Genomic DNA, 14,521 nt, shown 5'->3' with positions numbered 1-14,521 from the left:
AGCAGAGGTTAAACTATGTAAGAAGCTATTTAAAAAACTTTATCCAATAGGCAGTTACAGGATATAGTATCTAGCAATGCACATTGTTCTAAAAACTCAGAAACATTTAAAGACATACTATGCCTTAAGGCAAGTCTCAATACATTTCAAAGGTCCATGTATTATCAAGAACACATTCTGATTCCAATACAAACAATTATAAAAATATACATATTTTTAATCATGTAAATTGGAAATACATAATACAGACTTGTTAATAACATATAAAAAACAAAATTTGAAATACAGAACTAAATAATAGTTTAAAATATTAAGTATCAGTACTTTTGGAATCCTGATAAAAGAAAAGTTAGTCATAAAAAAAAGGTTAACGTTTGGTGTTTCATGAAGAAATAAAAAAGGTGGCACTAATATGTGAATCATTTGTTATAGTTAGGAAAGGAAGAAACATGTACACCAAAAGAAAAAAGGCATAAATAAGAAAATAATGAACGAAGAGCAGAAGTTAATCAAATAGAAAAAGAATTAGTTCTTTGAGAAGATAACGAAGCTTACAGATCTCTGACCAGATTCACTGGGGAAAGAAAGAACACATAATATTAAGACATAAAGAAAGGGTATGCTCAGCTAGGCAGCAGAAATTTAGAAATACAGCAGTATTAGAAACATCTTTACACAAACAAATTTTAATTCTTCAGTGAAACAGAAAAGTCTCTACAAAAAAGTCAGTTACCCAAACTAGGAACTAGGAAGAACTAAGAAACTGCACTTACTGTAGCATTTTGAAAAAAAATGTGTCCACATTTAAATTATCCCTATAAAAAAGTATTAGAATCAACTGCTTTTATAGTTGGATTCTACTACACATTCAAGGAAATAAATATTTCTGAGAAGTGAAAAAGAGAAGAAAAACAATCCTAATTAATTTTCAAATGAATAATGTCTTGTTACTACTTTCAAACAAACAGCATAAGAATTAAAAACAAAAAAGATTAATTTTACTTCACAACAATGTGAAAACATGAGCAAAATATAAGCGTATTATTTTGTTTTCACACAGTTGTAAAGAAACACCTGATACTGGGTAATTTATAAAGAAAGGAGACCTAATTGGCTTATAGTTTCTCAGGCTGTGCAGGAGGCATGGCTAGGAGGTCTCAGAAAACTTAAGATTATGTGAGAGGGCCAAGGGAAAGCAAGTGTGTCTTCACATGGTGGCAGGGAAGAGAGTGTAAAGGGTGAAGTGCTGCACATTTTCAAAAAATTCCATCTCATGAGAACTCATTTGCTATCATGAGAACCTAAAGAGAAATTCTGCTCCCATGATCCAATCACCTCCAACCAGGCCCCCCTCCAAAACACGAGGGTTAAAATTCAGCATGAGATTGGGTTAAAACAGAGCCAAACCATATCAATGAGCAAACAAATGTAAGGTTATACATCATAACCACATATCTACACTAAATTTATTTCAAAGAGAAAGGAGGGGCTCAACTTAAGGAAATCTATTTATTTAATGCATCATACGTATATATTAAAGTAGGAAAAAGTATAATTACATCAATGAATACAGAATAAACATCAAATAAAACAGAATAGCTATTTATAATAAGAGATTAAAGTACAAATAAAGAAAGTGTTCCTTATCAGAAAATACTACCTTCAAAATCAGAAGAAAGACTAGAAGGCTCGCTATTACCATTTCTCTTCAACATTGTCCTGCAGATTTTTAACTTGTAATATGAGACAAATAATACTAATAAAAATACTTTAATATATAAGAATTGGAAAGAAAGAAGTAAAATATTCCTCATCTGTAGATGACATGATTACCTACATGGAAAACTTCAAAGAACATACAAATCATATATACTAATAAGAAAACTTAGAAATTTTTCTAGATGTAGTATTAAGATGTCAAAGTTGAAACTACCTACCTATAAGAGAAAGCCACAGGATGGCCAATTACTTGAGTGATAATGGAGGCTTTACTTCCATTGTGAGATGTGTGATATTAAAGTATACATAATGGTCCCTCAGTATCAGTGAGGGATTGTTTCAGGACATCCATGGATACCAAAATCTGCAGATTCTCAATTTCTTGGCATTAGATAATGTAGTATTTGCATATAACTAACTGTCTAGCTCTTAAAGAAGGTAGCCATGATTCACTGCAGTAGGCACTAAAAAGAAGGCCCTTCTATTATCAAAGGAAATTCTCTGGGAAAGAAAACGGCTGAGGCCACATCTAAAGAGGTAACATTGTTACAGGCCACTGGCTAATGTCAGATACTGCACCCATGTTGGGAACACCACACTGTACCCACGAAAAAATTCAATCGGCAGAACAGAAAGGCTTACAAAAGAATCCCTCAGGATGGTTGCTAGAATGCAACAAAACTCTTTCTCCCTGAGGCAATGCAATGAAAAAGAGTTAATCTTTTATATGACTCCTCACTTTTGGGACAGGTCTCAATATACAAGTTATTTTCTCAAATCATTTAAGGAAAGAATCTATTCCAGACTATAAAGAGGACGGCCAGGGCCTATGATCTTTGTGACCGTAACAATCCAGGAAGCTACTCCACACTCCTTCCTCTACTCAAACCTTTACAACATTGAGGGGCATACACTGGAAAGCCTGTCAAATAGAATTTTTTGTTTGTTTGTTTGTTTTTGACAAGGAGTCTCACTCTGTCGCTAAGCTGGAGTACAGGGGCACGATCTCTGTACACTGCAACCTCCACTTCACAGGTTCAGGAGATTCTCCTGCCTCACTCTCCCAAGTAGCTGGTATTACAAGCACGTGCCATCGTGCCCAGCTAATTTTGTATTTTTAGTAGAGATGGGCTTTTGCTGTGTTGGCCAGGATGACCTCAATCTCCTGACCTCGTTATCCACCCACCTTGGCCTCTCAAAGTGCTGGGATTACAGGTGTGAGCCACCAAGCCCAGTCAGCAAATAGGGTTTTATCAGATACAACCATACAGGTGAAGGAAACATTTGCCTGTTTTTATAGACACCTTCACCAAGTGAATTGAGGCTTTTCCCACAAGGACAGAGAAGGCATTATGAGTGTCCAAATTTTTACTTAATAAGATCAACTGTAAAGTTTCAATTACCTGAAAGTCTGCAGAGCGATAATGGAACTACCTTCACAGTTAGAGTGACCCAATAGATTGCATTCAGCTTTAGACGTTACCTATCACCTTCACTCCCCATGGAGTACTCAATCCTCAGGTAAAATAGAAAAATCTAATCATGTTTTGAAAAGACATTAGCTAAGTCATGTCAGGAGACCTCAGAGACCCAGGTTCCTCTCTTAGCCATAGTCTTTATACACATAGGAATGACCCTTAAAATACTTCCCAAAAAATCCACTTGAGGCGAGTTATGTGAGGCCATGTTTAGCTTGGGGTCTCCTGCTTAATAAAGAGATACATAGTTAACTCATAAGTTGACACATATTGTCAACTTAAGCCAGGTTAGAAAACTCCTCCAAGCCTATGGACAAAAAGTATTGTCCCCTCTCACAACACAATTAACTGGCCTCCTATTCAATCATGAAACTTTGTAAACATTTTGAAAGAAGCATCCCCTGAGAATCAATTACAACCAAAACAGAAGGGCCCCTATCAGGTGTTGTTGACTATCCCAGTCCTTTTAAACTTTAGGGCATACCTAGTTGGATACAATTGTCCAGGATTAAACCTGTTTCTTATAAGTTGCAGGCACAAATGGAGGACACTGTAACCTAAATCTAAATTTTTGGAAGATCGCCACTACCTACTTAAAAGTATCAACAGTCATTCATCCAGAATTGGCAACATAATGCTGCCAGTGGGAATAGAGGGTCTTCCTACTAGGGAAGACTGAGAAAAACACAATTGAGCTCCTGAATTTTCTAGAAGAGGAAGGGTATCATTGTCAGTTTCACAATTTTCTGTGAAGAAGGGTATTTCTCTCTTTTTCCACCTTTTTAAAATCTATCTTAGGACCCTTGACAGCTGTATTGTTACTAATTTATTTACTTGTTTGTTTAGCCTCATAGTAAGGTTTGTATCTTGTAGATTACTATATTTCCAGGTGAAAACAACGCTGGCTTAAGGCTTTTGAGTTATCTTATGTACTGACCTGGAGAATTATAATGTTGTTTCTCCCCTTTAGCTCATGCATCCAGAGAAATTTACTTCTCTAGTGCTAGGCAAGGCCAATGCTCATGACTCAGCAGGAAGCAGTTACAGTGCATGGACCTCCTCCCTCCTGCAGCCCCCTTAAGATTAAGGGAAAGTAGTTAATGTCTGAGTGGAGAATGAGGTTGAAGGTGGGACTCAACTCCAGGGGTAGGGCTCACATAGGATCCAGATTGAGGACTAACTAAAACAGGGACTAGGCAGAAGGAGTTTTCAACCAGACATGCCCACCAGTCTGCCGTGTCATTTTACCATTGCCGCTACAACACACAGGAGGTACCACCCTTCTATGGCAATGATCCAATGATTACCACCCCTTCCCTATAAATTTCTGCACTTCTGCAATAATCCATGCATTTAAAAGCAAATATAAATATGACTGCAAAATATCCCTGACCTGTTCCTCTCTTGCTATGGTGTAACCCTGTTCTGAAAGACGAGTCACAGAGCTGTAACACTGCAAGAGCTGTAATTCTGTCTCATTGTGTCCGGAATTGGTAGGTTCTTGGTCTTGCTGACTTCAAGAATGAAGCCGCGAACCCTCACGATGAGTGTTACGGTTCTTAAAGATGGTGTGTCTGGAGTTTTTTCCTTCAGATGTTCAGATGTGTCTGGAGTTTCTTCCTTCTGGTGGGTTCATGGTCTCACTGGCCTCAGGAGTGAAGCTGCAGACCTTCGTGGTGCTCATACAAGTGGCACAGACACTAAGAGTGAGCAACAGCAAGACTTATTGTGAAGAGTGAAAAAACAAAGCTCCCACAGAATGGAAGGGGACCCGAGCAGGCTTCCACTGCTGGCTCAGGTGGCCTGCTTTTATTCCCTTATCTGGACCCACCCACATCCTACTGATTGGTCCATTTTACAGACATCTGGTTGGTCCATTTTACAGAGAGCTGATTGGTCCATTTTGACAGCCTGCTGATTGGTGCGTTTACAATCCTTTAGCTAGACACAGAGTGCTGATTGGTGTGTTTACAATCCTTTAGCTAGACAGAAAAGTTCTCCAAGTCCCCACCAGATTAGCTAGACACAGAGCGCTGATTGATGTGTTTACAAACCTTTAGCTAGATACAGAGCACTGATTGGTGCATTTACAATCCTTTAGCTAGACAGGAGGCCAGCAGAAGGAGCCAGTCCCAGCCTCAACCAGCCCCAGAGAGGGGCCCCCACAGGGCAGTGGCCAGTTGAAAGGCTCCTCAAGCAGAGCCAGAGCGGATGCTGAGGTGAAGGAAGCACCAAGAGCGAGCGAGGGCTGCTAGTATGTTGTCACTTCTCAATCCCCCCTCTAAACAGGACACCCCAACTGCTGTTGGGAATTTGGCCAATGACCACTCTAGCTACTCACTGCTGGATAGAGGTGAAGAAAGGGCCCTTCAGTTGTAGTGTCCTCCAGAGGGGAACGCTTTAGGCCAGTGGAAGGGCCAGCGTGTTGGTCCAGGGGTCCTCAGTAGAAGTTGTTAGTTGAGCTCATTTGGGTTTCCATTTGTAAGACCATCTGTAGCTTCTTGGCCTCAATTCCAAGGAAACAAATTTGAGAAGCAGGTTAAAAATACAGGGTCCAAAGGCGAGTAAAAGCAAGATGGCTGCCACAGGACCTAGAAAGCGGAGAAGCCATGTTGCCCAACTAGAGAGGTTGGTATGAGTTTGAAAGGCATTGTCTGATTTCAGAAACCATTTCCTATAAATGCTGGGTGGCATCTCGTACTATCCCTGATGGCTTAGTGTAAAAACAACACTCTTCCCCTAAGAAGGTGCAGAGTCCTCCTTTCTCAGCAGTGAGGAGGTCTAGGCTTCAGCGGTTTTGGAGAGTCACTGCAGCTAAAGAGTCTATTTGGGATTGCAGAGTAAGGATAGGTTCGTTATTTCTTACAAACCGCCTGAGAAATCCTTTGAGAGTATGTGGTAGTAGGATAATGAAGTAGATATACTGGCTCTTCTGGTTCCTGTAGCAGTAGCCATTCCTAACCCTATAAGTAGGTGGTATTTGTTGTATGGCCCTGTGCTGATGGACTTGAGCTTTGAGGGGTACTGATAAGTTTTGATTTCCTGGGGCAATGTTAATGTTGGAAGTTAGAAAGACTAAGTGCAGCTGTCTGTCCACTTAGTGGGGAGGCAGATATAGGTCGATGTTCCACATAAGAAGAATATACCTTGGCTGGGTAGACAGAACTGGTTGTGTATGTTAAAAAGGTGTGTGAATTTGTTGTTTTCTTTTTCCCATACTCCTAGAGTACTTGCCAAGGTAGCTCCAGTGACTGGCTGGCAAGGGGTGTTGGGAGAAAACTGAATGGCTCCCTGTGTTCTATTTTCCCATTGGAGAAAAAAACGTTTTGTATCCACTAGGAACAATTTGAGAGAGTGATTGAAAGAGGGGATGAGAAGGCATTCACTAGTGGTGGGGGCACTGCTGCAGGGGGCCCAGGGGTGAATGATCATGCAGGGAGTATGTTTGCCATTACAAGACCTGGACCGTTTGTTAAGCAGGGAGGCAGTGATGATTTTGGGGCCCTGAGAAGCAGACAAGCTGTCTGAATGGAGCTGTTTGGGTTACTATGATCAGTTGGGGCTTGAAGTTGTAGGGTGTAATTACACTGATGGGGTAGTAGGTGCCCCAGGGGCAGGCTCATAAGAGGTTGCATTGGCTGCATAAAGGAGCTTGGAAAGTTAAGATAGTATTCATAGCTACAGGGCCATGTATGGGCTTTTCATTGCTTGCATAATAGGTGTGGTTGGAAATCTAAGAACGTAAAAGTTGGATTGCACATCCTGTTAGGGTATTCTTGATCCTATCAGAGATGGGGAAGTTGGCTAACGATTGCATATTTAGAAGTCAGAAAGGGTCTTTTCCTTCATAACAAGGGTGGTAGGTTAAGTTGGTAAAGATGCAATTTTTGGCAGGAATGGGAGTGGCAACATAAGAAGAGGTTGATAGGGAGACACAAAGCCAACAGTCATTTGCCAGGGAAGGACTGGACTGGTTTAACAGAGACTGGGTTAAGTTGAGAGTCTTGTAGAGGAAATTAGGAAAAAGTGGAAGGGGAGGGGTGATTATATGAGGTATCCAAGGAAGCAGGAGGGATGCATAGGCAAAGAGCAAATAGGAAGGTAAAGAGGATGCTCTGGAAGAAGAGATCATTTTCTCGAGTCTGAGTTAAAGGTAGGAGTAAATTGCTGTTAAAAGAAGAAAGATGGAAGGTTGATGTGATTAGCATTTTCGTACTGGCAGGAGCTAGAGTATATAATCCTATCACAAAGAGTATGGTTAGTGTGTTGTTTTCACTTATCTTTTTTAAGCAGGAAGGAGTTTTTCCTCAGGATCAGTGGTAGGAGCCTTTTTAGTGTGGGATGTTTCCTTCTGAAATAGAAGATGCAAGTCCTCCAATGGTTCACAGGTGTATCGAGGCTGGTCTGGCTGATCTTGGGACTCCTGAGCTGACGGTTCCACAGGTTCCTCAGGGGACGTCCAAAGTTTAACTCAGGTGTGGTAATCCAAGTTTCCATTCCTGCCACCTTAATCGCAGTGAGAGTAGAGAGGATTACCGAGTATGGTCCTTCCCACAAAGAGTTGAAACAACTCTGTTCCCTTTTCTCTGTGACATCCTTCAGGTAGGTTTTTAAGGTTTTGTTGATATTTTGACAAAGAAGTTATATCTTTGACCAAGTAGGCCATTTCCTGATCCAGTAGGGGGTCTTTTGTGAGAAAAGATCGTCCATACAGCATTTCATATGGACTGAGCCCCATTTTGTGAGGAGAATTTCGGATTCTCAACAAGGCAATGGTCAAAATAGCTAGGCCATGGGAGATGTGTTTCTTGTGTTAGTTTCCTTAAGTGTCTCTTAAGTGTTTCATTTGCCTTCTTGACCTTCCCTGAGGATTGTGGCCTCCAGGCACAGTGAAGGTGATATTGTATCGCTAGCACCCTGGAAATTCCTTGAGTTATCGCAGCCTTAAAAGCCAGACAATTTTCACTCTGTAAGCTTTGGGGAAGCCCAAATATAGAAATTATTTCATGAATTAGGAGTTTAATCACTTCCTAAACCTTCTCTGTCTTGCAGGGGAAAGCTTCTATCCAATCTGTAAAGGCATCAACACAGACCAACAAGTATTGAAATCCCTTTGACTTAGGCATATGGGTGAAATCTAACTGCCAGTCCTTTCCAGAATAGTGACCTATTCTTTGCTCTCCCAAAGGGGTCTTACTATGGATGAAGGGATTATTCCTTTGGCACACCTAACAGGCTTTGACTACCTGTTGGATGGTTTGGAGAAGATTTGGCCCTGTAAATAGGGATTTGGCCATTTGATGAGTGTTTTCAATACCCATATGTAAAGTTTGGTGGAGGGTTTTACGTATTTTCCACTGGCTGGCTTTGGGTATAAGTACCTTTCCTTCTTCTGTAGCCAACCTGAGGGGAGAAAACTATGCCCCCATGAAATTCCCCACTCTGCTTCAGGTGGGGAATACTGAGGCTTAATCTCTTGGTGGGGGTTTGTTCCATACTAAGGGTCCTTCCATAGGTATTTCTAAAGGGGGATTCTGCCTGGCAGGAATTTTGGCCTCAGAATCAAACCAACAGTTTCCTTCTGACTTTTCTCCTTCACCTTTCTGATGGTTTTGGCAGTGTAAGACTGCCACCTCTTTGGGTTTTTCCACTGCATGCAATAACTGTATAATTTCCTTGTGGTATTTAATGGGGGTCCTCACAGAGGTTAGGAACTCCCTTTCTTTCCATATTGCAGCATGGGCATGTAGGATTAGATAACCGTACTTGCTATCTGTGTACACATTTACTCTTTTTCTTTTTCCCAGTTCTAAGGCTCGGGTAAGTGTCATTAGTTCTGCTAACTGGGCACTGGACCCTGCAGAAACAGGCTTACTTTCAAGTAAGGTTAGTTCACTAACTATAGCATAACCTGCCCTTCATATCCTGTTCTTCACTAATGAACTTCGATCGGTACATAGGTTAAGGTCAGGATTAGCTAAGGGGACTTCTAAGAGATCATCTCAGGTGGCATAAGTCTGGACTATAATTTGTTGGCAGTCATACTCGATGGAGTCCCCATCCTCTGGGATAAAAGTGGCAGGGTTGAGGGCCACACACATATGTATTTGAAGAACTGGTCCCTCAAAGAGTAGCACCTGATGTCTAAGTAGGCAGTTTCCTTATAGCCATACACTTCCTTTGGTACCTAGTATGCCATTTACATCATAAGCAGTACAGACAGTGAGATTCTTTCCTTGTATTATTTTGATAGCCTCTGACACTAAGACCACCACCACTGCAACTACTCATAAACAGTGAGGCCAGCCTTTTGCTACTTCATCAATTACCTTACTTAGATATGCCACTGGTTGTGGGGTTGTCCCACGAGTCTGAGTAAGGACTCCAAGAGTGATCCCTGCTCTCAGTGATGTATAAAGAGCAGTTTTATCCTTTGGAAAGGCTTAAAGCTGGAGCTTGTACTAGGGCCTGCTTTAAGGTTTTGAAGACTATTTCTGCCTCTTCTTCCCATTCTACTAGATGAGCATTTGCTCTCTGGGTCTCCTTGACTAGAGTATAGAGGGGCCAGGCTAACTTGCCGTTTCTGGGGATCCATAGTCAGCAAAAGCCAGTGACTCTAAGGAACCCTCATAACAGTTCTAAGGTCTTAGGGTGAGGATGAGCCAGTATAGGCTGTCTTCATTCCTTGCTGAGGGCCCTGGTCCCTCTGGCTAAGACTAGGCCTAGATATTTGACCTGCTGTAGGCAAAGCTGGGCCTTTGACCTAGACACTTTGTATCCTTGATTAGCTAGAAATTTCAAGAGATCTAGAGTAGCCTGCTGGTATGAGGCTTCTGAAATGGTAGCCAAAAATAAATCATCCACATACTGAAGGACCAGAGTGCCTGGACTTGAGAAGTGGCCTAGATCTTGGGCCAGTGCCTGATCAAACAGATGAGGGCTATCTTTAAATCCTTGGGTCTAGACTGTCCATGTAAGTTGGAATGTGTGATCTTGCAGGATCCTCAAAGGCAAAGAGAAACTGCGAGTCAGAGTGCAGGGGAATACAGAAGAAGGCATCCTTGAGGTCCAGAACAATGAACCATTCTGCTTCTTCTGGTATTTGACAGAGCAGGGTATAGGGTTTGGGTACAACCGGATATAGAGGAATTAGTGCCTCATTGATGAGTTTAAGATCTTGCACTAATCTTCACTGACCATTTGGTTTTTGTATTCCTAGAACTGGGGTGTTGTAGGGACTGCTGCATTTCCTTACTAAGCCTTCAGCTTCTAAATGTTTAACAATATCCTGTAATCCTTTATGAGCTTCAGGCCTTAAGGGATATTGCCTTTGACAAGGAAAAGTGGTGGGATCTTTTAGCCTGATTTGGACTGGGTGAACATATTTTGCCCTTCGAAATTGTCCTTCCAATGCCCAGACTTCAGGGTTGATTCCCTCCTCAAGTAGGGGACAACAAATGAGTAATTTACTCCCCATATTCATGTAGATAATGGCTCCAGCTTTGGCTAATATATCCCTCCCTAGTAAGGGTGCAGAACTTTCAGGCATAACAAGAAAGGCATGTGAAAAGAGCAGCCTCCCAATTACAATTAAGGAGGTGGGAGAAATACCTGGTTACAGGATGTCCCAGGATTCCTTGGATGGTAACGGACCTTGAGCACAGTCATCCAGGACAGCAGATTACCACTGAGAAGGCTGCACCAGTGTCCAGAAGGAAGTCAATTTCCTGGCCACCAATGGTTAAGCATATCCAGGGCTCAGTGAGGGTCGCAACGTGAGCTGACACTTGCCCAGGGCACCCTCATTCCTGTTGTTGGATTATCTGGTTGGGGGCCTCTGACCTAAAGAACCTTTGTCCTCTGGGGCAGTGCACCTTCCAGTGATTGTCTCAGCATAGCGGACATGGATTACGGGGTGGCTTGTTCCTCATTGGACAATCTTTTTTAAAGTGTCCTTGTAAACCACACTGATAACAACCGCTACCAGGTGATTGGCCTGCTCCATTTTCTGTCCTCTCTGAACCAGCAAGGTTTGTCTGTCTGAGGTCCATGACTAAGGCTGCGGCCTTTCTCTGATCCTGCTTTTCCTTTTGGGCCTGTTCCTCTTAGTCGTTATTATAGAACATGGAGGTTGCCAGGTTTAATAATGCCTCTAGATTTTGTTCAGGGCCAAGGGCTTGCTTTTGCAGCCTTCTCCTGATATCTGTGGCTGATTGGGTAATAAACTTATCTTTTAGAATCAATTGACCCTCAAGTGATTCGGGTGACAGGGGAGTATATTTTCATAAGGCCTCCCATAGCCACTCAAGGAAGGCAGAAGGATTTTCTTCCTTTCCCTGAGTTATGGTGGACATCATTGAATAATTCATGAGATTTTTCCTAATTCTCCTTAGTCCTTCTAGAACACAGGTCAACAGATGTTTACGACTCCAGTCCCCCTGATCTGAGTCAAGATACCAGTGGGGATCCATACTGGGGATGGCTTGCTGACTGGTAGGGATTTTTTCCCTTTCTTCAGCTGTCATTCTATCACTTACTTGGCTAAGATACCAGGTATCTCCAAACTCGGGCTGCTGCTAAAGACACATTCTTTTCATTAAAGGCCAGGCTTTTGCCTAACAGTAGCATAACATCTCTCCAAGCGAGGTCAAAGGTTTGCCCTAGACTCTGTAGGACATCTATGTACTTATCGGGATCATCTGAAAACTTCCCCAGGTCTGCCTTGGTCTGCTTTAAGTCAGAGAGGGAGAAGGGTACATGTATCTGAGTTGGACCAAATTCCCCTTCCCCTAGAGCTTGTAGGGGGCATAACTGATAGTCTGGAGGGTTTGGGGTCCTTTGGAGATTTCTTTGCTTATTTCCTTCTGGGCAGGGGAGATAAGAGGAGGCTTATCATTAATAAGAAGGGGAGCTGTAGGGAGGCTAGGATATGGGGGTAAGCTGAAATGTCCTCCTGTGGGGTGTAAATTGCAAACTTTGCATAGTTGTGTATTCTCCTTCAATGAAAAGAAAGCTTGGACATAAGGCATTTCACTCCATTTGCCTTCCCTCTTACAAAAGAGGTCAAGCTGTAGGATAGTATTGTCATTTGTACTTCCCTCAGGTGGCCATTTTTCCCCATCAGAGGGAGAATATTGGGGCAAGCCAAAGTGCAGAAAAAAATGAGCCACCTACTTTTCAGGATTGGTGTGTCAAATTGGTACCATTGGCTTAGGATGCATTTCAAGGGTGAACCTCTTGATGCCGGAGTGTTTTCCATCTGAAAGGCAAAACTGCCTATGGTTTTGTTCTGTTTTGTTTCTCCCCCTGCCCAAGAACCCACAATGGTCCCTGGACACTGCTGATCAGAATAGTTGTGCTCACTGATGCAGCAGGAGGGACAATGCCTGCTCAAGATCCCACAACAGTCCCTGGACCCTGCTGATCAGAATAGTTGCACTCACCAATGCAGCAGCAGAAACACTAGTTTTCCTCCAAGACCACAAGGAGGAGTGAAGAAGGTCAGATTTAGTGGCCCTTTCTGATGCATTTTGGGAAAGCTGCACCCTTGCCTGTCCTCCTAGACCACAAGGAGGACCAGAAAAAATTGGATTTAGTGGCCCTTACTGATGCATTCTCAAAAACCTGTTAGAGTCCTAAGCATTCTCCTCTTAGTACTGGGACCTTATCTGTGTCCTATAAAGATATTATGCCCCAAAAAAGAAGTGGAGGTCCATAACCTGAGGGAAGGAAATGATCTCCAGGTTTGGAAGTGTGACACCTTTTGTCCTCACTTATGTGAATAAGAAGGATACAATTTCTGAGGCTCCCCATATCCTAGCTTCAGCAATAGCTTTTGTTAGGCCTGCTAGTCTGAGGTGGGATCCTAAAATTCCAGATATTTCCCCCTGCAATGGGGCTTTGGGCAAAAAATATGTTTTTCTGATTGGTGAGCCCAGGTGCCTGAGGAAGGTAACAGAGTCCTGAAGCTTACACTAGAAATCATATTATAGCAGAAACTAAGGAAGCACCAGAGACAGGGAATGGTTTTTAGAAGTGGGGCTAGCCTCAGAGAAAAGTGGCAAGAGGAAGTTTGTCTGGCAGGCATTAGGACCCAGGGGCAAGTGTCAAGATAGATAGGATAGATGGACGAGTCTCTCTTGGGCAACATGCCTTTGAGAGTTCTGCTCATGGCTGCAGGGTCAACCAACTTGTTGTCAGGACCCTGGAGCCGAATGGCTTTCCTCTCTGTCAACCCTTGGCTTGGCCCAGAATTACAGGAAAAGTGGAAGCTGGTTTGAGGCAAACCAACGCTCCCAACTCCAAAGAGTCGGGGGTTGTTAGAGAGCCCTTTTCAGAAAGGCTGACACCCGTGTCTTTAGTCCAGCAGCCACGCTAGTTGCTTTTAACTGGCCGAAAGGTGCCCAATATTTAGCCCCAGAATTCTAGGGAAAAATAGCACATAATAGCAAGAGAAAGGGGTCTGATGGTACTCACCACTTGGCAGTAGGTGATGATCTCACCAATAGGCGATGGTCTTACCACTTGCTGATAGTCTCACTGCTTGGTGATAGGCGATAGTACCTTTGTGATTGCCAAAATGCGTCTGGAATTGATGGGTTGTTGGTCTCACTGACTTCAAGAATGAAGCTGCCAACCCTAGTGGTGAGTGTTACCGTTCTAAAAGATGGTGTGTCTAGAGTTTGTTCCTTCAGATGTTCAGATGTGTCCAGAGTTTCTTGCTTCTGGTGGTCTCACTGACTTCCGGAGTGAAGATGCAGACCTTCGCGGAGACTGTTACAGCTCTTAAAGGCAGCTTGTCTGGAGTTGTTAATTCCTCGTGGTGGGTTCATGATCTCACTGGCCTCAGGAGTGATGCTGCAGACCTTCACGGTGAGCTAATAAAGGTGATGTGGGCCCAAGTAAGGAGCAGCAGCAAGATTCATTGCAAAGAGCGAAAGAACAAAGCTTCCACAGCATGGAAGGGGACCTGAGTGGATTGCCACTGCTGGCTCGGGTGACCTGCTTTTATTCCCTTATCTGGCCCCACCTACATCCTAATGATTGGTTCATTTCACATAGAGCTCACTCGTCCATTTCACAGAGAGCTGATTGGTCGGTTTTCTCAGAGTGCTTATTGGTGCATTTACAATAACTTAGCTAGACAGAGTGCTGATTGGTGCATTTACAATCCTTTAGCTAGATACAAAAGTTCTCCAAGTTGCCACCAGATTAGCTAGACACAGAGCTCTAATTGGTGCATTTACAAACCTTTAGCTAGACACAGAGTGCTGATTGGCACATTTACAATCCTTAAGCTAGGCAGAAAAGTTCTCCAAGTCCCC

The 14,521-nt window shown here is 42.8% G+C and overlaps 1 long non-coding RNA gene across 2 annotated transcripts; it reads right to left on the bottom strand.

The window, feature by feature from the left end:
- Positions 1 to 1,023: 1,023 nt before the first annotated feature.
- On the bottom strand, positions 1,024 to 14,129 carry LOC107987350 (uncharacterized). 2 transcript variants are annotated; one of them, XR_001756084.2, is made up of 3 exons: positions 13,674 to 14,129; positions 5,539 to 8,171; positions 1,024 to 4,897 (listed from the first exon to the last, which is right to left on the bottom strand). It is a non-coding gene; the product is annotated as an uncharacterized LOC107987350 (long non-coding RNA). The 2 variants fall into 2 exon arrangements; XR_001756083.2 differs by having other exon boundaries at positions 5,539 to 7,703.
- Positions 14,130 to 14,521: the final 392 nt, after the last annotated feature.

This window comes from Homo sapiens, chromosome Y, assembly GCF_000001405.40.
Source record: "Homo sapiens chromosome Y, GRCh38.p14 Primary Assembly".
In the NCBI taxonomy this organism is placed as follows: domain Eukaryota; kingdom Metazoa; phylum Chordata; class Mammalia; order Primates; family Hominidae; genus Homo; species Homo sapiens.
The sequence above is the reverse complement of the archived record's forward strand: the minus strand, read 5'-3'. Positions and strand labels throughout refer to the sequence as shown.